General features: G+C 44.7%; 2 protein-coding genes across 9 annotated transcripts in view; one reads left to right on the top strand and one right to left on the bottom strand.

Moving 5' to 3' along the window:
• FAM161B (FAM161 centrosomal protein B) overlaps positions 1–24,144 on the top strand; it is a 27,396-nt gene extending 3,252 nt beyond the window's left edge. Inside the window, exons 2-11 of one of the 3 annotated variants that reach the window (XR_007063990.1) lie at positions 238–557; positions 1,958–2,508; positions 4,128–4,474; positions 5,790–5,917; positions 8,731–8,895; positions 9,142–9,241; positions 10,755–10,894; positions 12,449–12,529; positions 14,365–14,462; positions 24,107–24,144. Coding sequence is in view for 2 of the 3 variants with exons in the window: in NM_152445.3 (NP_689658.3) it covers positions 238–557; positions 1,958–2,508; positions 4,128–4,474; positions 5,790–5,917; positions 8,731–8,895; positions 9,142–9,241; positions 10,755–10,894; positions 12,449–12,587 (1,890 nt within the window). In the remaining variant the exon portion in view is untranslated. Of the gene's footprint in view, positions 1–237; positions 558–1,957; positions 2,509–4,127; positions 4,475–5,789; positions 5,918–8,730; positions 8,896–9,141; positions 9,242–10,754; positions 10,895–12,448; positions 14,568–24,106 lie in introns of those variants that run through there. The other 2 variants (XM_011536475.3, NM_152445.3) reach the window with 2 other exon arrangements.
• Positions 14,322–24,144, bottom strand: part of ZNF410 (zinc finger protein 410) — a 45,663-nt gene continuing 35,840 nt past the window's right edge. For 4 of the 6 annotated variants that reach the window (NR_040251.2, NM_021188.3, NM_001242926.2 and 1 more), the window contains 2 exons: positions 23,321–23,448; positions 14,322–15,340 (listed from right to left, as the gene is read on the bottom strand). Coding sequence is in view for 5 of the 6 variants with exons in the window: in NM_021188.3 (NP_067011.1) it covers positions 15,302–15,340; positions 23,321–23,448 (167 nt within the window). In the remaining variant the exon portion in view is untranslated. Of the gene's footprint in view, positions 15,341–19,614; positions 19,737–22,023; positions 22,142–23,320; positions 23,449–24,144 lie in introns of all 6 variants that reach the window. The other 2 variants (NM_001242924.2, NM_001242928.2) reach the window with 2 other exon arrangements.

The raw sequence follows: 24,144 nt of genomic DNA, 5'->3' as shown, positions 1-24,144 counted from the left end.
AACCAAGCGCACTTCATAGACCAAGTTGTGAAATTTCTTTAGACCAAGAAACACACCTTATTTTTAAAAATTCCTCCCAAAGTGTTGGGATTACAGGTGTGAGCCAGTGCATCTGGCAGACCCCAAATTCTCCCCAGTCCCTAATATACAGAAGCTTATTCAAAGCGAAATTAAGTTATGATTTGAATACCTTTGAAATTATTGTTTGACCCACAGCCTATTTCTATTCTATTTTAGATATTTCCCCCCGAGTCCTTCGCAGACACAGAGGCAGGAGAGGAGCTGTCCGGGGATGGGCTGGTTTTGCCCAGGGCCAGCAAACTTGACGAGTTCCTCAGCCCAGAGGAGGAGATAGATTCTACTTCTGACTCAACTGGGAGCATTTACCAGAACTTACAGGAACTGAAGCAGAAAGGGAGATGGTGTCTGTTGGAGTCTCTCTTTCAGTCTGACCCAGAGAGTGATGAAAACCTCTCTGAAGATGAGGAGGACCTGGAGAGTTTCTTCCAAGACAAGGACAGGGGGATGGTGCAGGTCCAGTGCCCGCAGGCTCTGAGGTAAGGCACTGCAGCTCCACGGCTGCCTCACTCCACACCTCCACACAGGTCACATCGTGTCTCTGGGCTTCATCTTCCTCTGTAAAGCAAAGAGCACTTCTGCAAGTTGCCATTTACTGAGGCTCTAGCTGAGAATCAGCTTTTGGTTCCAAACAGGTGTTCTGATTCCTCCCCAGGAATCCTGAATTACTTTGGGCAACACTTAGTCCAGTGATGCACTGGAATTAATTAAAGGGCAGCCTTTCCTCAGGTGCAGGGGCTCACACCTGTAATTCCAGCACTTTGGGAGGCTGAGGCAGGCGGATCACTTGAGGTCAGGAATTCGAGACCAGCCTGGCCAACATGGTGAAACCCCATCTCTACTAAAAATACAAAAATTAGCCAGTCATGGTGGCGTGTGCCCGTAATCCCAGCTACTCAGGAGGCTGACGCATGAGAATCCCTTGAGCCCAGGAGGTGGTGGTTGCAGTGAGCTGAGATCACGCCACTGCACTCCAGCCTGAGCAACAGAGCAAGACTCTGTCTCAACAAATAAAAATAAAATAAAATTTAAAAATGGGCCGGGCACCGTGTTTACGCCTCTAATTCCAGCACTTTGGGAAGCCGAGGTGGCTGGATCATGAGGTCAGGAGTTCAAGACCAGCCTGGCCAAGATGGTGAAACCCCGTCTCTACTAAAAATATAAAAAAATTAGCCGGGCATGGTGGCAGGTGCCTGTAATCCCAGCTACTCGGAAGGAGAGGCAGAGAATTGCTTGAATCTGGGAGGTGGAGGTTGCAGTGAGCCAAGATCACGCCCAGCTTGGGCAACAGTACAAGACTCCATCTCAAAAAATAAGTAAATAAATAATAAAAAATAAAAAAAAATACAGGGAAGCATTTCCTAAATACACTTTCCCTGAGAATGACAACAAAGTACCTTTATCTTGGTCAAGCCTTAGAAAGTAAATATTGAATGAGATAAAGTGTACATTATCTCATTACTTTATCTTATTTAATATTTACTTTCTCCTCCAATAACCTGGTAAGTAGACATTAATTTTTGCCACTCTACATAGGAGGAAATTGAGGTTTTAACAGAACTTTGCTCAAAGTTTGAAGCAAGATTTAAACCCAGGTCTGTCTGACTCTAAAGCTCTACTCTGCTCATTGTTCTCTCTCTCATATGAAATATTAGAGTGCAAAGTGGCAGTTCTTGGATCAATTCTGAGAAGAGACTTTCCATTAGGGCTGCCAGGATTGTCTGTGGGAAGGTCATGGACATAGAGGCCTGTGGGGCTGTGGTGTTAGGCTGAGCAGCCAGCTGTGACCAGTGGGAAGGGAGGACTGGGGAGGAGGTCTGGAGGGAGCAGGGCCTCCTGACTGCCCTGTCCTCCACTCACAGATCTGCTTTTTTCCCAGGTGTGGCTCCACAAGGCGCTGCAGCTCCCTGAACAACCTTCCCTCCAACATTCCCAGGCCTCAGACCCAGCCACCCTCAGGCTCCCGGCCTCCCTCCCAGCACAGAAGCGTCAGCTCCTGGGCATCATCCATTACTGTCCCTCGGCCATTCCGCATGACGCTGCGCGAGGCCCGGAAGAAGGCCGAGTGGCTGGGCTCACCTGCCTCCTTTGAGCAGGAGAGGCAGCGGGCCCAGAGGCAGGGTGAGGAAGAGGCCGAGTGCCACAGGCAGTTCCGGGCACAGCCTGTGCCTGCACATGTCTACCTGCCCCTCTACCAAGAGATCATGGAGCGCAGCGAGGCCCGAAGGCAGGCAGGGATCCAGAAGAGGAAGGAACTGCTCCTCTCTTCTTTGAAGCCCTTCAGCTTCCTGGAGAAGGAGGAGCAGCTAAAGGAAGCTGCTCGACAGAGAGACTTGGCAGCCACAGCTGAAGCCAAGATCTCCAAGCAGAAGGCCACCAGAAGGATTCCCAAGTCCATTCTGGAGCCAGCCCTTGGGGATAAACTCCAGGGTAAAGACATCCTTGCCACCTTGCTGCCTCCTGCCTCGGGGAACCAATCCCACCATAGGGATTTAGTCAGGGCCCAGGGATCTGCCTGGCTTGGAGATTTGCTGCTTGGGTGGACCCACTAGAGGCTGCACGCTTAGTGCAGGCCATTGGGGAGGGTTAGGTCTGTCTATACAATCAGGACCTGTATGGTGCCAGGAGTGAGAGGTCCCACAGTGTCCCCAAGGCTCGTCCTGTTGACATCTAAGTGAATGCACATGAGGGCCTCTGCACCAGCACAGGTGCAGGAATAGAGAACCAGTGAGACACCTGAGGACCAGCTTGGGCTCATGCCACCACCAGCACACTGCCCTGAGATGCTCCCCCATGGCTCCTTCGTCCTGGTGAGGTAGTGTCAATCGCCGAAATTACCTGGGGGATGATTATTTACACATTTCCAAAAGTATAGCTCCAAATAAGGGGCTCAGGCTTTATTCACTTTTCGGTAGCATGTGCCATGCTCCAGGCACTGTGCCATGGTGAACACACAGACATGGAGTTTGTAGATATGTGAGGAAAACAGATAAAGACAAATACATACAAATGTGGCGAGTTATTTACAAGGATTAAAAGGGGAAGCATGGGAGCATATATCAAAGGGACCTAACCCGGGGATTGGTGAAGCAAGGGAGCAGTTAGGGAAGGTCCCCTGAGAAAGTGGGCCCTGGGGCTGAACTGAAGGAGGGGCGAAGAGGGAGGAGAAGTGGAGCAGGCAGAATGTGGCATGGAGGGGAGAGAAAGCAGAGCATCTGCAAGGGATGGAAAGGTCGAGGGCTGAGAGAAGAGGGAGTGGGAAGGAAGAGGCAGGCATGGGCCAGACATGAGGAGCTTTGCAAGCCACGTTGGCGAGTCTGGACTTCATCCCAAGGGCACAGGGAAGCCACTGAGGGAGTGAGGCAGGGTGGCCCATGATCAGAAATATAGTTCAGAAGGATCCTTCTGATTGCTGTATAGATAATCTGAGAGGGCAGCAAGACTGGAGGGATGTTGAGCCAAGAGGAAGCTATTTCACAATTCAGTAGAGAAATTGTGCAACTGGTTGCAGGGATGAAAAAACGAGGATGGACTGGAGAGAGGTTAAAGAGGAGGAAATGACAGAACTTGTGACTGATGAGAGACACGGAGGAGTCAGTGATGTGGGCAAAGGGCCTGGGCAGCTGGGTGGATGGTAGGGCCTTTCTCTCAGATGGGGAAACCTGGGAGAGGAGCAGGTTACTGGCCCACTTCCTCTGCTTCATCTCTGAAGAAGCAATCATAGAAAGTGCTCAGTAAGTGTAGATGGTCACTGCTTCTGCAGCCTGATTGACACAGGCAGTGGTGTTCTGGATGACATTTATTAACAAGCTCTCCAGAAAAAAAAAAAAGGAAGCTGGTTTGTAATGTTTGTTATTTTCTGTGGCATAATTACTCCTATTCAGGCCATCTGCAGGCATCTCACAGGATGTTAACGTGTCAGAATTCCTGAAAAGTTCCTACTTGCCTCCAGTAACACTTACAGCTAGTGTGTAAAAGAGGGAAAGTTCTCCAACCCTGTAGGTTTCTTGCTTGGTCCTTTCTTACCCATCACCATCCTTTCTCCACAGAAGCTGAGCTCTTCAGGAAAATTCGCATCCAAATGAGAGCCCTGGACATGCTCCAGATGGCCTCTTCCCCTATCGCCTCCTCTAGTAACCGGGCTAACCCACAGCCCCGCACAGCCACCCGAACCCAGCAGGAAAAGCTTGGGTTTCTGCACACTAACTTCAGATTCCAGCCTCGGGTGAATCCTGTGGTCCCTGACTATGAGGGCCTTTACAAGGCCTTCCAGAGAAGAGCAGCCAAAAGAAGAGAAACCCAAGAGGCCACTCGCAACAAGCCCTTCTTGCTGAGGACCGCCAACCTGCGCCACCCTCAGCGGCCCTGTGATGCTGCCACCACCGGAAGGAGGCAGGTGAGAGCCCAGGCAGCTGTGGGAGGGTCAGGGCTGCGGCCTGAAATACAGGGTGGGGCCAGGTCTTCCTGGAAAGCACTTCTCAACAAGGTTTTCCTATCTTTTTTTTAAACACCAGCTCAGTTGTAAGCAGATTCACTTTCCTATAAACTCCAGACCACAGCCCAGCCTGGGCAACAGAGACCCCATCTCTAAAAGAAAAATACAAATATTTGCCACATGTGGTGGTGTGTACCTGTAGTTCCAGCCATTCAGGAGGCTGAGGTGGGAGGACCTTCTGGCTGCAGTGAGCCAAGATGATGCCACTGTACTCCAGCCTAGGCAACAGAGTGAGACCCCATCTAAAAACAACAACAAAAAACAGGCCAGGCGTGGTGGCTCACGCCTTTAATCCCAGCACTTTGAGAGGCCGAGGAGGGCAGATCATCTGAGGTCAGGAGTTCGAGACCAGCACGGCCAACATGGCAAAACCCCATCTCTACTAAAAATACAAAAATTAGCTGGGTGCGGTGGCGGGCACCTGTAATCCCAGCTACTTCAGAGGCTGAGGTAGGAGAATTGCTTGAACCTGGGAGGCGGAGATTGCAGTGAGCTGAGATTGTGCCACCGCAGGCCAGCCTGGACAACAAGAGTGAAAGTTCATCTCAAAAACAGAACACAACAGAAACCATAGGGACACTTCTTTTCCTCCCTTACTGTAGAAGGATTTCACAGAAATAAGTCCAAGCAGGCTTGAGAGGCAAGGAGTTGGGATCAGTTGTTGATGTCTCTATACCAATTCCAAGGAACTCTTCTCATTTGACTAAAAACTTTAGGATTGATATCCAAGTCTTGGCTTGGTTGTGAAACTTGAGATCTCTTTATCCTTGCCTTATTCCCAGGAAAAAAAATGAAGATTCTCATTTTCAGTCCTTCAGTGAAGCTGAATCCTAGTAAAGATAGAAAATGGCTGGGCGCGGTAGTTCACACCTGTAATCCCAGCACTTTGGGAGGCCGACACGGGTGGATCACCTGAGATCAGGAATTCGAGACCAGCCTGACCAACATGGTGAAACCCCGTCTGTACTAAAACTGCAAAAATGTAGCTGGGCATGGTGGCTCACAACCTGTATAGTCCCAGCTACGTGGGAGGCTGAGGCAGGAGAATTGCTTGAACCAGGCAGCTGGAGGTTGCAGTGAGCCGAGATTGCGCCACTGCACTCCAGCCTGGGCAAAAGAGCGAGACGAGACTCTGTCTCAAAAAAAAAAAAAAAAAAAAAAGATAGAAACTAATCACACATGCTGTCCCACCAATACCAACCTTTGTTTCTTCTAGGATTCCCCACAGCCACCAGCTACACCCCTGCCAAGGAGTCGTTCTCTGAGCGGCCTTGCTTCCCTCTCTGCCAACACTCTCCCTGTGCACATCACAGATGCCACCAGGAAGAGGGAATCTGCAGTCAGGTGAGTGGTCAGGCTGCACGAGACCCATGCTCTGATTCTGGCCCCAAATGCTGGAAACCTCCCTGCCAAGGGGCCTCCTTTCCTGTTATCAGAGATACCTCAAGGGGTCAAAGGGAATTTTCTGATCAGGACTGGAACAATTGCGGTTCTCCACACCTGGTGCTTGGAGAACAGCTAGCCATCATTCAGCACATATTCATAGTGGGCTTATTCTGTGCCAGGCACAGTGTTAAGGCTGGAGATCTTAGGGAACCTCCAGTTTATTATCTAGTCTGAAATACAGAAAAGCAAAGAAGCAATGGCCATATTTTTTGAGTAGTGCAATGATGGGGGGTAAAGGGGACTGTGAGGGCACTGGGCAGCCTGGAGCAGGGGGGTCTTGTCTTGTGGAATAGATGTCTAAAGTGAAACTGAAGAACAAGGAAGAGTTCGCCAGACAAAGCCTGGAGAGAAGGAAGGTTCCAGACAGAGAGAACATGGATAAAAGCCCATGGGTGAGAGGAAGGGAGTAGTGAGGAACAAGAATTCAGAGAAGCATGCTAGCAGGTGGCTGAAGTTGCCGCAAATATGAGACATCCATTGCATAGATTTGAGATTCTCTGAGATTCATCTTGGGAAGATGTCAGAGTCTGTTGGGCAGCAAGAGCCTGCTTATTTTTAACTCTTCAACTGACCTGATTCTGTTATGATGTTCTCATTAAGCCAGCCCCCAGCAAGGGTTCTTCCACCAGGCTTCTGAGCTGAAGTAGGCAAGAGAGGTCATGGTGTAACAGCAGCTTAGGCCAGGGAGAGGACTAATGTCTTACTGCCTTCCCATGGGGCATGTAGGGGAGTACTCAGAACCTACTTGGATCGTTAAGCCCCACAGCAGGGATTGTAGAAGAGTATTTACGGTCCAAGGGATACTCCTTTCTTCTTCAGACTTCAGTTAGACCTACTAAATCAGGGCTAATTAATTGCTCAGTATCCTGAGGGCCCAAGAACACAGGCCTCCTGAACAAAGAGGCTGGCCTTCCTATAGAGGACATCCACATCTGCTTTCCAGCCACAGGGAATCTGACATATTAACAGATTAAATTTTCATGTCCTTCTTCCCAGTATGTCCATTTGAATATAAACATCCAAATATAAGAGTCTTGGTTGATTTTCCTTTTGGAAGAACTCAACATATTACTTTGTAGATAACTGAACAAACTAAGTGCTACAAGTTGAACCCAAATAGTCTGCACTGAGGGAGGCTCATTTCCAGTTCTCTCTGAATGTGCAGATTTGTATTCCCAAAGGACCATGAACCCAGACACCTTCCAGCCCACTGTTTCCAGCAGAGTGGTCAAGGCCAGAGGCTTCGGAGTCAGAGGTCCTGGTCCAATAGGGGCTTTTCCACTGGCATGCTGGGTAGCTTTGAGCAAGGGGCTTACCTCCTTTGAGCCTCAATCACCTCCCCTATAAAAAGGGAATTTAGTATTTACCTCATAAGGCAGTTATGAGGACAATGTGAAATGTAATGGTACTTGGTTCATAATAAGGAGCTCAGTAAATGGTAGCTATTAGTATTATTTTGTATCCAGATAGGCGAAGACCTATTGAATGTTGGACTGTTTAAGTAAGGATATATATATTTTTTTTCGAGACAGAGTCTTGCTCTGTCGCCCATGCTGGAGTGCAATGGCGCAATCTCAGCTCACTGCAACCTCTGCCTCCCGGGTTTAGTGATTCTCCTGCCTCAGCCTCCCAAGTAGCTGGGATTACCGGCACGTGCCACTACACCCAGCTAATTTTTTTTGTAGTTTTGGTAGAGACAGGGTTTCACCATGTTGACCAGGCTGGTCTCGAACTCCTGACCTTGTGATCAGCCCGCCTCAGCCTCCCAAAGTGCTGAGATTACAGCCATGAGCCACCGTGCCCGACCTAAGTAAGGATATTTTAACTGACGTTTCTCCAGTTCAGTAAATGCACTTCTAGGGTAGGAACTCACTGTGTCCCTAGTGCTGGAAAGGCTTCATCTGCCAGTGCATTTAATCCTAGAATTTTATTATTTTTAAAAATGGCAGTTGAGGTAAATTACATGCCCCATTCATTAAAAACACCAACTTACTTTCCAGAAAAGGTTACTAAGATTGCTTTATTTTATTTATTTATTTATTATTATTTTTTGAGACGGAGTCTCTCACTGTCGCCCAGGCTGGAGTGCAGTGGCACGATCTCGGCTCACTGCAAGCTCCGCCTCCCAGGTTCATGCCATTCTCCTGCCTCAGCCTCCCGAGTAGCTGGGACTACAGGCGCCCACCACCGCACCCGGCTAATTTTTTGTATTTTTAGTAGAGATGGGGTTTCACAGTGTTAGCCAGGATAGTCTCGATCTCCTGACCTTGTGATCCGCCCGCCTCGGCCTCCCAAAGTGCTGGGATTACAGGCATGAGCCACCATGCCCGGCTATTTTATTTTATTTTATTATTATTATTATTTTTGAGACGGAATTTGATCTGTCGCCCAGGCTGGAGTGCAGCAGTGCGATCTTGGCTTATTGCAACCTCTGCCTCCCGGGTTCAAGCGATTCTCTTGCCTCAGCCTCCCGAGTAGTTGGGATTACAGGTGCACACCACCATGCCCAGCTAATTTTTGTATTTTTAGTAGAGCTGGGGTTTCACCGTATTGGCCAGGCTGGTCTTGGACTCCTGACCTCAGGTGATCCACCTGCCTTGGCCTCCCAAAGTGCTAGGACTACAAGTGTGAGCCACCACACCTGGCCTAAGATTGCTTTTCAGTATACCCAGGTTGGTAATCTATACTCTTTTTCTGCCTCCTTCCTTTAGAAGTGCACTTGAAAAAAAGAACAAAGCAGATGAGAGTATTCAGTGGCTGGAGATACACAAAAAGAAGTCTCAAGCAATGTCCAAATCTGTGACCTTGCGTGCAAAAGCCATGGATCCCCATAAAAGCCTGGAGGAAGTGTTCAAAGCAAAGCTGAAAGAGAACCGGTCAGTGTCCTCTATGTGTCAAAAGGGGTGCTTGCCTTGGGATCCAACAGACCACTGGCCTATTGCCAGAAAATGCAAAATAGAGTTATCGAGGTAGGTAGGCTCCTGTAATCACAGCAGGGTCATGATTTTCCAAGTCAGATAGGAATTTACAGTGTACACGAGAGTTACACTGCTTTACTGGAAATGAAGGGTATTCTGGATTAGAAAAGATGAAATTCTTTCTAAAAGTCTTGCTAATTCCAGGAACAATGACCGTAAAAGAGCGAAAGAATATAAGAAAGAACTGGAGGAAATGAAGCAGCGAATACAAACAAGGCCCTATCTCTTTGAACAAGTTGCCAAGGTAAAACTAAACCATCATTTGTTTTCTTTCTGCCTTAGATAAAAGGACTCTGAAAAATTACAAAACAATTTTAATATGTGGGTATTAAAATTTTCCTTGAGGCCCAGAAATTCTAATTTCACTACTACCTTCTTTTCCCAAAATAAATAGTACAATAGAGAATGCTGCTTGTGTTGATTTCATCCAAGAGTGGACTCCAAAGGCATCGATAAAGGGATATTTCACTTCCTAGAGCTTTCACTGTAGTCTACCATTCAGATTTCATCAGACTGGGCATTAGACCCCAGAGACACAGGGACCATTTGGCTCTTTCTATGCTCTGGAGCCACTGTTCACAGTGCTGGAAAGGTATCTCTCCTCTGGCAGTGCTGCTGGCCCTGGGCCTCCCCAGCCTCTAGAGCTGTGGTATATTTATAGGTCTCCAAGCATTAGGATGCCCACAAACACCCTGCAAGGCTTTCTCTAGACTAAGTGGCTTTCAGGCTGGAAGCCTGAAATTTTTTTTTCTTCTTTTATTTTGTATGCATGTGTATGTGTGTGTGAGTGTGTGTTCCTTATGGAGCAGGGCTAACCCATAGGCAGTGTACCCGAAGTATCCTGGAAGAGTATCATTTTAAGATATTCTCTGTAGACTTTTAGGGATGTTGGACTCAGCTGAGATCTCCGTAAGGATGTAAGGATGCTCTGTTTCTACTGCATTAGGCTCTGTGGATCTCTTTCCTCTCCAGTTTCAGACAAGTTGGGGTTCCATAGTGACCTAGTTCCAATGGCAGGGCATTAGCTCCATCTTATAGTTAGTACATTGTCTAGGCATTTGCTGGCTCCACTTCCTCCTCCCTCCATAAATCTTTCTCCTCTCACACACATAAGCACACATGGTCTTGGATTTACTTAGCAACCTGCATTGTTCAAAATCTCATGCTTCTTTATGTTAATGTTAAGCAAGCTCACTCTTCAGATCTCAACAGATCTTTCACCTCTCTAGGAAAAATACAAAGTACTCTATGATTTTGTTCTTGAATACTTAAACAAAAAATAATATTCTGCTGGTCCACATGCAGACCATCTGTCCTTCCACTAAGAGTCTTGGTGTAGCTTATTTTCTATTTTATTTTAGTGTTCCTGATAATGGTTTGTTGCTTTAAAATCTTAGGTTTTTAGTCCATCCTTTTAAATCTGGGTCTCATTTGTCTCCCAAAAGTCTAAGTCATTGCTTTTCAAAATTGTGACTCCCAAATCAACAGTTTGGCATCTCTGGGGAGTGTTAGAAATACAGAATTACAGTCCTCATCTGACACCTACCAAATGTGAAATCTGCATTTTAACAAGACCTCAGGTGATTTATATACACATTAAGGCTGGAAAACAAGGGTTAAATAATTTTCTTGCAAATCTATGCCCCACAATAAGGGTGGTGGTGGTTGTGGCAGTATTGTAACAATACTGATTAAGTAATTTAGAATTGTCTGGTAATTCATAAGACAGCTACAACAGATTAATTTCCATCCCACAGGATCTAGCCAAGAAAGAAGCAGAACAGTGGTATCTAGACACCCTGAAGCAGGCTGGGCTGGAGGAAGACTTTGTGAGAAACAAGGGTCAAGGCACCCGGGCTGTTCAAGAGAAAGAGACCAAAATCAAGGATTTTCCCAGGTAACCTGAAATGTTGCTGTCATTCTGCAGCTCTCTAAATTGTCATACCCAGTAATACCACTGGGAGGAAACTTTAGAATAGCCACTGGTATTTTGAGATCATAATCCTGTATTTATGTAACATTAATAAGTAATCCAGAGATCTCCAAGTAACACATTTGAATTTAGAGAGTGATGCAGTTGTGAATAAAATCTGACAAATTATGTTTCGTTTTCTTCCATTTTGAAACAGATCATTTTCCAATTCCAGTTCCAATTTCATGAGCTGAAACTATTTCTACTTTATTTTTGAAGAAAAATCATGTATATTTTGACTTCTTATAAAACTATAAAACTGTTTTTCTAGCATTCCTTAAAGGTAGCTCATTAGTATCACCTTCTCCATAACCTTTTTTTTTTTATTTTTTGTATTTTTTTTTTGAGACAGAGTCTCACTCTGTTGCCCAGGCTGGAGTGCAGTGGCGCGATTTCTGGCTCACTGCAAGCTCCGCCTCCTGGGTTCACGCCATTCTCCTGCCTCAGCCTCCCGAGTAGCTGGGATTACAGGCTCCCGCCATCACGCCTGGCTAATTTTTGTGTATTTTTAGTAGAGACGGGGTTTCACCATGTTAGCCAGGATGGTCTCGATCTCCTCACCTCGTGATCTACCCTCCTCAGCCTCCCAAAGTGCTGGGATTACAGGCGTGAGTGACCGCGCCCGGCCCTCCATAACCCATTTTGATATTGAGTCAAAGGGAGAAAATAGTATCTTCTCTCCATTATTCTCAATTGTTTTGTATCTTAAATCCTAGCAGCCCCTACCCTAATTCCTATCTCAGTTTTATACCCCTAGAAATTTTCCTTTACATCCCATATAAAATAGTAATAATGTTGAGACTTTTTTTTTTGAGACGGAGTCTTGCTCCGTCGCCAGGTTGGAGTGCAGTGGCGCAGTCTTGGCTCACTGCAGTCTCTGCTCACTGCAGTCTCCGCTTCCCGGGTTCAAGCGATTCTCCTGCTTCAGCCTCCTGAGTAGGTGGGACTACAGGTGTCCACTACCACGCCCAGCTATTTTTTGTATTTTTAGTAGAGATGGGGTTTCACCATGTTGGCCAGGATGGTCTTGATCTCTTGACCTCGTGATTCACCTGCCATGGCCTCCCAAAGTGCTGGGAGAGACCGTTCTTAAACCTTACACAGTGCTTTAAGACTTTCTTTTTTCAGACTGGGCACGGTGGCTCACGCCTGTAATCCCAGCACTTTGAGAGGCTGACGTGGGTGGATCGCTTGAGCCCAGGAGTTTGAGACCAGCCTGGGCAACATGGCAAAACCCTGTCTCTACAAAAAGTTAAAAAAAAAAAAAAAATTAGCTGGGTGCAGTGGCACGTGCCTATAATCCCAGCTACTTGGGAAGCTAAGGTGGGAGGATTGCTTGAGGTGGGAGGGTTGCTTCAGCTGGGCTGTCCAGGCTGCAGTGAGCTGAGATCATGCCACTGCACTCCAGCCTGGGTGAGAGTGAGACCCTGTCTGAAAAAAAAATTTTTTTTGTTTTTCATGTTTTAATTTATTCTGCAGGTTCCAAGAAACTACAAAACTCAGCATCAGAGATCCAGAGCAGGGTTTAGAAGGATCTCTAGAACAGCCTGCAAGCCCCAGGAAAGTACTGGAGGAGCTGTCTCATCAGTCACCAGAAAATCTCGTATCACTTGCTTAATCACTACACTTAAAATTACTGCTTTTGAAAAATATTAAGCAGCTAACTTGGGTTTGAGTCAAGGCAGGGAAAACTTGGGTTTTGAGTCATGGCTACTGTTAGAGGATGGACAAATGAAGAGTAGCAGATTAACAGGCCAGGCGCAGTGGCTCACGCCTGTAATCCCAACACTTTGGGAGGCTGAGGCAGGCAGATCATCTGAGGTCAGGAGTTTGAGACCAGTCCAGCCAACACGGCAAAACTCCACCTCTACTAAAAATACAAAAATTAGCTGGGCGTGATGACACGTGCCTGTAATCCTAGCTACTTGGGAAGCTGAGGCAGGAGAATCACTTGAACCCAAGAGGCAGAGGTTGTAATGAGCTGAGATCACTCCACAGCACTCCAGCCTGGGCAGCAGAGCAAAACTCTGTCTGAGAAAAAAAAAGAGCAGCAGATAACAGAGAATAGTTCAAGGAAATCAAAGTGGGGAGGCTCAGGTGGAGGGATGGTAGCCTAAAGTTAAGGGTTCCTGCTTTGTGCCTCACACTTAGAGAATTAGGTACAGAAAAGAGAGCACAGGCCCAAATGCCTATAAGGGGCTAGTGCAGAAACATAAATGCGTCCATGGAGTGGGTGTAGACAGTAGGAGATAGTAGACACTGGAAAGTATCAAATCCTGCTGGAATATAGGCTCAGAGTTACTACATCAACTACATTTTCATCAAGCCAGAAATTTGTATGCTATCAACTAATTTAAAAATTACTTAGAAATATTGTATGGGCAAAATAAAATACATCTGCATATCAGATCTAGCCCATGGGGGATGAAAAACTTACAACTTCTAGTACAGGATTTCTTATCCTCAGTGCTATTAATATTTTGGGCCACCTAATTCTTTGTTGAGGGTTGGGGAAGGGAACTGTCCTGTACATTGTAGAATGTTTAGTAGCATCCCTGGCCACTACCTGCTAGATGCCAGTAGTACCCCTCTCCCCAGCTGTGACAACCAAAAATGTCTCCAGATATTGCATATCCCCAGGGGGCAAAAATGTGCCTGGCTGAGAACCACTGCTCTAATATAAATGGCTGCATGAAGCAAAAACTGGCATTCTAAGAATACAAGTAATTGCCATGAACACAGTCTATGTACTATGTGATTATGCATGTCATTAACAAATTAAGAATTTAAAACAATTCTCTCCCGTTATCTGTTTAGAATGTGCCTGTGTGTTTATGTGAGCATGAGGTTCATTTTAAGTAAACTTAAAATTTCCCAGACAACCAAGATTTTCTACTAGTAGGTGAACTTTGGAATAATTTTCTTCTCACCAATAATAATTGGATATTCTGGCTCGGTGCAGTGGTTCATGCTTGTAATCCCAGCACTTTGAGGGGCCAAGGCAGGAGGATCGCTTGAAGCCAGGCGTTCAAGACCAGCCTGGGCAACACAGACCTCATTTCTACCAAAAAAACCACAAAAAGTTAGCTGGACTGGTGGTACATGCCTATAGTCCTAGCTATTCAGGAGGCTGAGGTGGGAGGATGCCTTGAGCGTAGGAGTTCAAGGTTACATTGAGCTATGATTACACTACTGCACTCCAGCCTGGGTGACAGAGCAAGACCCCATCTCAAATCATAATGATGATGAGTGGATATTTTCTCAGTAGCTGTGGAGACAGGATGACTGATAGCAAGAGTGCCTGCTCTAACTAAAGCACCTTTCTCAAGCTTTTTTAAAAAAACTATCTTTGTGGAAAAATTCAGAAGTATCTGTTTTTATTGCCATTTTCTCAGATGCGTCTTTTTTGGTGGTGACAGAGTAACTATCACCTGGGCTTAAGAAATGAAGATGTTCTTGTTGTTTCCTAAGACTCCTCGGTTCAGTTTTACTGGTATGGAATCCTAAGGGTAAATCAATACACTATTTTAAAGGGAAAGATTAAATTCTTAATCTCTAAGAAAACAAATTTTGTATAAAACAAGAGCCAAAGAACTGACTGGGCTGTTTTGTTTATTTAAAGGAAAACCTGAATCTCTGCATCATGTAATTTTTAACTTTAAAAAAACAAAAACATGAAATCCCTCTTAACATGCTACTGTATGTTCCATTAACGAAGAAAGCAAAGTGACCAAGTAGAAGTGTATAGGACAAGATAGTACCTCAGCCTGGGCCAAGGGGAGATTCAAGTAATTTATTTTTTTGCAGCCCAGTGGCAGAGAGTCTCTTACTCAGGTTGCTAAAGGGAGAATGTAACAAGAGAATTGACATCACTCCCTTCTTCAAAGCAACAAGGCATCTTGAAAACTCAACTTCCTGGTGAAGCTCTGTTGTTGGTAGCAGGAATTATTTCATCCATGTGAAAAGACAGCTGAGTCTGGGATGAAAACTCTTCAAAGGAAAACCTCCCCTCAACAGTCAGAATGAAGAACTTCAGCCAACACATAATCAAATTCACTTTTGGTCTATCCCAGAAATTTGCAGTGGGAAGAGAGGTAGGTACAGTTTCCCAGCCCACAGTCATTGCTTCATTCCTTGTCTGATCAGATGGTAGTTAGAAAAGAAGCTCTCCTACATCCATCTTCTATACCAGGAAAGAGGAAGAGTGGCAAAAGCAGAGTCTTGTGCCTTCAAAGATTCATTCTGGTTCTGTTGTGGGCTAAGGCATCCTGTTCCCAGTATACGCATTTTGAGATCAGATAGAGTTGCTCTTCCAGGAGTCAGCACCCACGCTCATGTCCGTCTTTCAGTTAAATCTCCTTGGTTTAGTAACTGTAAAAGATTGAAAGCAAATCTAGAATAGGTTACAGTTGAATTATAGAAAAAATAATTCATAGTAAAAAGTATTAAGAGTGGAGGATGGAGAATGCACTACAGGGGTGAATGAAGGCTATCTACTTCCAAAGCAAACACATGCACGGACTGATAGATGTCACTGTGGCCTTGGGACAGCACTTTAGCCATGTCATAAGGCTGGCATTTTAACTCTGGCAATCAAATATTCTGAGTCTATAAGCCAAACTATTGTTTGTGTAGTTACCTACTCATCAGTCAGTGACAGAGGAATCTCTAACTTACAGGGAAAACAGAAATGGTGGAACCAAAATCTTATACGTGTCAGCCAAAGGATAGGCTGAAGGCTCAAGTAGGAGAAGGAAATAGGAAGAGGAGCTGTTCCTTTATAAGTACTATATGAGAGCTGAAACCCACTCATAAAAGATCTAGGGGTTCCTTGGGCTTAAAAGAATGATAAGCCTAAGGGACTCCTGCATAATGGCAACTACCACTAACATTCTACTCTATACACAAGGCTCTATTCAAAGGAGTTTTGAAATAATGAAATTGGCTTCCATTTTAATATAAAAACAAAATGAGGCTGGGTGCAGTGGCTCACATCTGTAATCCCAGCACTTTGGGAGGCTGAGGCAGGAGAACTGCTTGAGACCAGAAATTTGAGACCCACTTGGGCAACACAGTGAGGCCCTGTCTCTACAAGAAAATTTTAAAAATTAAGCATGGTGGTACATGCTTGCAGTCCTAGCTACTTGGGAGGCTGAGGGAGGAGGATCACTTGAGCCCAGGAGTTCAAGGGTGCAGTGAGCTATGATCATGCCACTGCACTGCACTCCAGCCTGAGTGACAGACTGAGACTGTTTTCAGACACACAAAAATGAGATGGGAACAATTCAGTAAAATTCAGAACAAAAACAACTTATTAAAATCTAATCAAATAAATTCTTCAGCTTGAGATGTATTTACTTGGTGATCCTAATTTGGATGAAGGTAATTTATACAGTAGAATTTAATGATTGGGCTGGGCACCATGGCTCATGCCTATAACCCCACCACTTTGGGAGGCTGAGGGAGGAGGATTGCTTGAGGCCAGAAATTTGAGATCAGCCTGGGCAACATGGTAAGACACTGTATCCACCAAAAAAACTTTTTTTTAAGAGTTTAATTATATGGAATTTAAAGACTTTTAAACAAAATCTAAAGAAAAAATTAAACCTTAAAGAAACCACATATTCCATTTGATGCTGTGTGGCAGGAAAGTTAAGAATAGTGTGTTTTTAATGGAGGCCAAGATCCAGATCTTTGCAGTCAAACTTAGCAAAGGTACTTTATGAGAAATATTATAGAATTTGTAATTTCTATTTGTGCCTTGATTTGGAAAGCATTCTAAGAGGTAGTCAAAACTAGCTGGGAATCTCTTATACTGGTTCTTGAGTTCAAGAATGTGAACTCAATGTAAATATGGAGCCCCATTTAGAATGACCTTTAGTAAGTATGACAGCCCAAAAGCCCTGGGGTTCCCAGTTGGGCCTGTGCAATGAGTCCTCCATCTAATTCTCAGATGTGGCACAATAATGAGGGAAAATAGAGATTGTCCACCTGAACCAGAGAGGTGACTTGTAGTTTCTGATATTTTTCCCATGGTAATTTTTCTTCTTTTTTTTTTTTAAAGAGTTTGGCTCTGTCACCCAGACTGCAGTGTAGTGGCAAGATCATGGCTCACTACAGCCTCAACTTCCTGGGCCCAAGTGATCCTCTCACCTCAGCCTCCCAAGTAGCTAGGACCAGCTAATTTTATTTTATTTTTTGTAGACATGGGGTTTTCCTGTGTTGCCCAGGCTGGTCTCAAACTCCTAAGCTCAATTGATCCTCCCACCCCAGCCTCCCAAAGTGCTAGCCACCGCACCCAGCCTCTCATGAAAATTTCTGATAACAGATTTGGTTGTTCTCTGATATTCTTGATAAGCTATTTTTATTTTTAGAGCATATTTACAGGAAGTACAAGTTCATCAGTAGACTTTGATCCATACTGCTTGGTGATCTCCAAAAAAGGTGAAACGGACATGTGTTGCAAATAGCCTTCACCTTCTCTGGCACCTGAAAGTTCTTAAGGAATCAACATTCCTCACTCACTGGAGAAATAGCAAGTTATTACCTAGACCTTGGATGAGGAAGAGGCCTAAGCCTGGAACCCTGAGGGCCTCACAGCTTGAAAAAAAACTGAAGGTATTGGAGGACCCAAACTAGTGAAGAAAGAAAAGGAGGGGATAAGCAGTGGAAATGCCTGTGATACGAGGAGGAGAATAATGCTAAAAGTGAAGAAAACACAAAAGAAGTGAGGCTCAGACAGAGGGTATGTTTGTAAATATACAAAAACCCATGAGGAAAAAGTGACAGTGCAGGATTTTGAGCTACATCCAGGACAGCACTTTCCCTTTTGTGTTGTTAATATTTTTCTAAGTGTTTTGGGCTTCCATTATGAAACTGGGTTTTGTGCCTTCCTGGAGTGAAGACCATACTTCCTTTTTTTGTTTGATTTTTGGGATAGGATCTCTCCCAGGCTGGAGTGCAGTGGGACAATCATAGTTCACTGCAGCCTCGAACTCCTGGGCTCAAGTTGATCCTCCTGCCTCAGCCTCTGGAGTAGCTGGGACTACAGGTATGCACCACTATGCCTGGATAATTTTTTAAAAAACTTTTTGTAGAGACAGGATCTTGCTCTGTTGTCCAGGCTTGTCTCGAACTTCTGGCCTCAAGTGATCCTCCCACCTTAGCTTCCAAAAGTGCTGGGATTATAGACATGATCCACCACACCCAGGTCTTTCGTTTTTTAGGCAGCCTGTGTTATGCTGTCTCCCTGAGGCTGTAAGTGGGCAGCACCTATTATACATGGATGCTCTGAGGCCAATTCCAAGACTTGTGCCTAGGTTCTAGGGAACAAATGTACTATTACTGGATATTCTGAATACACAAATCTGATCACGTCATACCCTACTTCAAACCATGCAGTGGTTCTTCAGTGCCCCCAGGATAAAATCATGCCTTGTAAGACCTTTCAAGAGACTAGCTTATCTTTCCAGCTCTCAATTTTCCTCTCCAGCCCATCTCTTCATCCCATGTCCCATCACACTCAACCCTATTTACAGTTCCACAGAGGCCCTCTACTCCCTTACCTTCTACCTTTGTACACACTGCTGTCCTTCTGCCTGTTATATTCTTCCAACTCCTACTTCTCCATCAAGATGATGTCTATTCATCCCTCCCATCTCAACTTAAACTCTAAAACATATTCTCTGACTTCTCCCAAGACTGGAACGTACTACACTTAAAAACTGCCAGTTTAGGCTGGGCGCAGTGGCTCATGCCTGTAATCCCAGCACTTTGGGAGGCCGAGGCGGGTGGATCACCTAAGGTCAGGAGTTTGAGACCAGCCTGGCCAACATGATGAAACCCCGTCTCTATCAAAAATACAAAAAATTAGCTGGGTGTGGTGGTGGCCGCCTGTAATCCCAGCTACTCAGGAGTCTGAGACATGAGAATTGCTTGAACCCAGGAGGTAGAGGTTGCAGTGGGCCGAGATTGTGCCACTGCACTCCAGCCTGGGCAACAGAGTGAGACTCCGTCTAAAAAATTAAAAAAAAAAAAAAAATTGCCGGTTGATTAATTGGTCACTTCTCCCATCCTAACCTCACTGTACAGTGCAACTCCAGCACCATATATATAGTTATGAAGGTCCTAATTCTGCCTATAAGCTATTTGAGGCAGAGACTATATTTTGTTTACTATTGTATAACTAGTACCCTGCAGAATGCCCCACACATACTAGGTATGTGGTAACTAGCCGCTGAATGAATTAAATTTTCATACATCTGGCATTTATTTGGGTAACGTGGAGAATTTTAAAGATATTTACCAATACAGGAGAGAAAAGCTCTGAGGTTTCAAATATAAAAAAGAAAAGGCTAGGTGCTGTGGGTTGGCTTGCTCGAATAATAATGTGTACTAGGTAAAAGAAAAACGAGATGGTTTTCCTGAAATGACGATTTCAGGGCAACCCTATGGTTGATGAGAGAAGTATTTCTTGTATAAAAGAATCACAATTAGGCCGGGCGCAGTGGCTCATGCCTGTAATCCCAGCAGTTTGGGAGGCTGAGGCGGGTGGATCACCTGAGGTCAGGAGTTCAAGACCAGCCTAGCCAACATGGTGAAACCCCGTCTCTACTAAAAATACAGCCGGGCGTGGTGGCACCTGCCTGTGGTCCCAGCTACTCAGGAGGCTGAGGCAGAAGAACCGCTTGAATTCGGGAGGTAGAGGTTGCAGTGAGCCGAGATGGTGCCACTGCACTCCAGCCTGGGCAACATAGCAAGACTCCACCTCAAAAAAAAAAAAAATCATAATAAACACAGAGGGAACAAGAGAATTAGGATATCACCATTTTGCAGGCCTTAATGAAAAATAGATCTAGGCTATGATCAGTAATGGTTGCCAAAACCTTTACATAACCTACCAGTCAATCTTAAGATCAACTGATTGTCATGTGCCTCCTGATGAGATGTAATAGGAAGCAAGAGCACCATTTATGAAATATTCTTGCCAAGGGGGAAAAATTGAATCTAATCAAACCTCTAAATGTAACTACCAGTTTTTAGGAAATACAGTGGATAGAGAAATTAATATTAACAAAAGGAGTCAATCAGCCAAAACCAGAATGTGGGAAAATCTTTAGGACAAAAACTCCCAATTCCTGGCCGGGCGCAGTGGCTCACGCCTGTAATCCCAGCACTTTGGGAGGCCGAGGTGGGTGGATCACTTGAGGTCAGGAGTTTGGGACCAGCCTGGCCAACATGGTAAAAGCCCGTCTCTACTAAAAATACAAAAATTAGTGGGGCTTGGTGGCAGGTGCCTGTAATCCCAGCTAATTGGGAGACTTGAGGCAGGAGAATTGCTTGAACCTGGGAGGCAGAGGTTGCAGTGAGCCGAGATCACGCCACTGCACTCTTGACCTGGGCCACAGAGTGAGACTCAGTCTCAAAACAAAAACAAAAACAAAACAAAACAAAAAACCCAGTTCCTTAAATAGATAACCATACTGAAAAAAAAGGACTATTATAAAGAGAATTAAGAGAAGTATTAAACAAATGCAATATACAGACATTGTTTGAATCCTGACTCTAGCAAACCAACCATAAGATATTTTTGAGGGGGAGGAAAAAAAGAACATAGACTATTAGAGAATACAATAAATTATTGTTATCTTTGTTTGAAGTGGTAAAGATATTATAGTTTTTAATATTGTATCTTGTTAGAGGCATATACTGAAATATATACAGAAGAAATGACATGCCTACAATTTGCTTTGAAATACTCCATCATAAACAGCAACAACAACAAAAGGAGGAAAGAGATAAAACAAGAACAGTATAAAGTTAATTGTGTTTTTGTCTTTTGAGACAGGGTCTCACTCTGTCACCCAGGCTGGAGTACAGTGGCACAGTCACTGCTCACTGTAGCCTCAACCTCCCAGGCTTAGGTGATCCTCCTACTTCAGCCTCCCGAGTAGTTGGGACCACAGGCACATGCCACCACGTCCCGCTAATTTTTTTTTGTATTTTTTGTAGAGATAGGGGTCTTATGTTGCCCAGGCTGGTCTTGAACTCCTGGATTCAAGCAATCCACTTGCCTCCACCTCCGAAAGTGCTGGGATTATAGGCATGGGCCACTGAGCATGGCATAAAGTTAACTGTCAAAGTTAGGGCCAAGTGCGGCAGCTCACACCTGTAATCCCAGCACTTTGGGAGGCTGAGGCGGGTGGATCACTTGAGGTCAGGAGTTCCAGACTAGCCTGGCCAACAGGGTAAAACCCTATCTCTAATAAAAATACAAAAATTAGCCGGGTTTGGTAGTGGGTGCCTGCAATCCCAGCTATTCAGGAGACTGAGGCAGGAAAATTGCTTGAACCTGAGAGGCGGAGGTTGCAGTGAGCTGAGATCGCACCACTGCACTCCAGCCTGGGCGACAGTGGGACTCCATCTCAAAAAAAAAAAAAAGTCAAAGTTAGGAGACAGGTGTGAGCTGCCGCTCTCAGCCGTAACTTCGACTTCGACGTGGGTTTATCATACTAGTCTCTCTCTCACTGTACTCTGAAAATTTCCATAATAAAAGCTTTAAAATAGAAAAATGAAGACAAGAAAAATGGAGGAGAAAGAGGAAGGCTCCGTAAGTGAGATATGTATGATTCATTCCAAAGCAGTTACCAGAAAAAGTGACTTAGGAAAGAACCAATGATATCAAGATCAAAAACTTTAAATATAAGCAAAGACAATGGGTCACAACAATAAAAAGAAAAGTCCTGGCAAAAGCATTAACATGTATGCCCAGAACCCTGTAATCCTGGGTACCCCCAAAGATATTAGAGAATAATGGAGAATATTCAATATAGGATGCAGAGTCATTTGAATGATGCAACAGCTTACTGTGGTATAAAGGTTATAATGAAAAGAAGAAGGCTGGGTGCAGTGGCTCACGCCTGTAATTCCAGCACTTTGGGAGGCTGAGGTGGGCAGATCACGAGGTCAAGAGATCGAGACCATCCTGGCCAACATGGTGAAACCCTGTCTCTACTAAAAATACAAAAAAATTAGCTGGGCGTGGTGGCACGCACCTGTAGTAGCAGCTACTCAGGAGGCTGAGGCAGGAGAATCGCTTGAACCTGGGAGGCAGAGGTTGCAGTGAGCCGAGAACGCACCACTGCACTCCAGCCTGGGCAACGGAGCGAGACTCTGTCTCAAAAAAAAAAAGAAAAGAAAAGAGGAGAAAAGACGGAAGAGCACCATAAAAACTAATGTAATACTGAAAGGATCCAAGCTACAGAGGTTTTGACAAAAGTTTATGCATATGAAATGTGCTCGTGATGAAGTCATCCACTCCCATGACACAAGACCAGTGAAATATCCCAAGATTTTAAAACACTGACCACTTTGCATTCTGTTTCCTGAGTCAAAGCCAAACTACAGAGTTGAAAGTGCTTTAGCTCAACCTCAAACCCTTTTTGTTTAGATCAGAAGTCACCAACCCCCAGGCCATGGACCAGCACTGGTCCGTGCCCTGTTAGGAACCAGGCCACACAGCAGGAGGTGAGCAGCAGGTGAGCAAGCATTACCACCTGAGCTCCACCTCTCCTGTCAGATCAGCAGCAGCAACAGATTCTCATAGGAGCGCAAACCCTATTGTGAACTGTGTATTTGAGGGATCTAGGTTGCGCACTCCTTATCAGAATCTAATGCCTGATGACCTGAGGTGAAACGAAACCGGTCCCTGGTGCCAAAAAGGCTGGAGACCATTGATTTAGGTAATGGTTCTCACTTAGCAAGCAAGTGAACAAATCTGTATATGCCCATTTGGTTAAGCCTGGTATCTCCCAGACATATGACCATAGCAGAATGAACAATAATTATGTTTAATGATTTTGTTACTACCTTTTTTGCTGAGGGACTTTTTCCAGGATGTTATTTCTGGAGAAAAGAAAGGGATCTCTAGGAAATACTTGCTCCTGTCTGGTACAGAAATTTCACCCAATTTACACAGGCCAGGCCCTCTTCTCTGAATAACTTAACAGGTGAGGTCAACATGCATTTATTCAGTGCCTGCTGTGTGCTTTTATAAAATAAAAGCTGTATCATGTTATAGTGTGGCAGAGAATAGTGGGAACAGACATCAACAAGGAATGTATATAAAAGAACTTTAAAGCCGGGAGTCCCAGCTGTGACAGACCAATCTCCAATTCATTAAGACCCTAACCCTCAGGCTCCTTTCAAGCTGAACTCATGCTTAATTTAAAGGAAAATATTCGTGCCAAAGTTTCCAGGAAATGGAAACTGGAGACTTTTTCAGGTCCTCTAAATTCTCAATCATTCCCCACATGAATTGTCACAGAAACAAAGGGCAAGAGACCACTTTACCTCTTGTGGATTTACTGCAGTTAAGACAGAAACTTCATATGATTGCCTCCCTGACTGCATGGTCACCAGGTGATGTGTCACATCAGGCACTGAAGACAGGGAACGTGGGGATCCTTCAGCAAGCACCTCTGTGAAGCAACAGAAAAATGTTTCAATGAAAAGTGAATCCAGAGATACACCTATCTGGATCATTAAGCCTCTCATTAACAACTCTAAAACTCTATTCCTCTATTTCCCACATTCCTCTATTTCTTCCAAGTTAATCCTGTCTGATAAGCATTATCAGTGAATTTGGAAAGTAATATAAAAAGAGAATAGAAAGGCAAGAAATCTTAATACAGGATTTAGAATAATATGGTGTTAGCACTTTTAACTGAATTAAAACTATGTATGAAACAGGCAAAAGTCTTAGGCAAGCAGGTAAGGGAACCAAAGCCACCCTTAAAAGCAGTCGCCAATGATACTAATAGCACTTACTAACTGAATATGATATGAGTAACAAAAACATAGGGTCTCACAGTTACTAAATGTTCATCAGTGGGATCACCATGAAAATCTTCTGGAAATAGTTTATGGATATACCACTTAGCCCTCAAAAAACTAGAAGTTTCTTCTAGGGGTTTTCTAGATTATACAACTATTTTATGCTGTACCATATAATTTAATGTTGGCTTATATACTATCTTTTATGTACTCAATGTTCTTTCCCATATATATGTAAGCTTTCACTTCTCAACTGGATTTTAAGGTCCCTATCTTCTACTTTTGTCTTTCCCATGGTGCCAGGCACACAGTAGGCACTGAATAAATGCATGCTGACCTCA

Source organism: Homo sapiens, chromosome 14 (genome assembly GCF_000001405.40).
Source record: "Homo sapiens chromosome 14, GRCh38.p14 Primary Assembly".
NCBI lineage: Eukaryota > Metazoa > Chordata > Mammalia > Primates > Hominidae > Homo > Homo sapiens.
The sequence above is the reverse complement of the archived record's forward strand: the minus strand, read 5'-3'. Positions and strand labels throughout refer to the sequence as shown.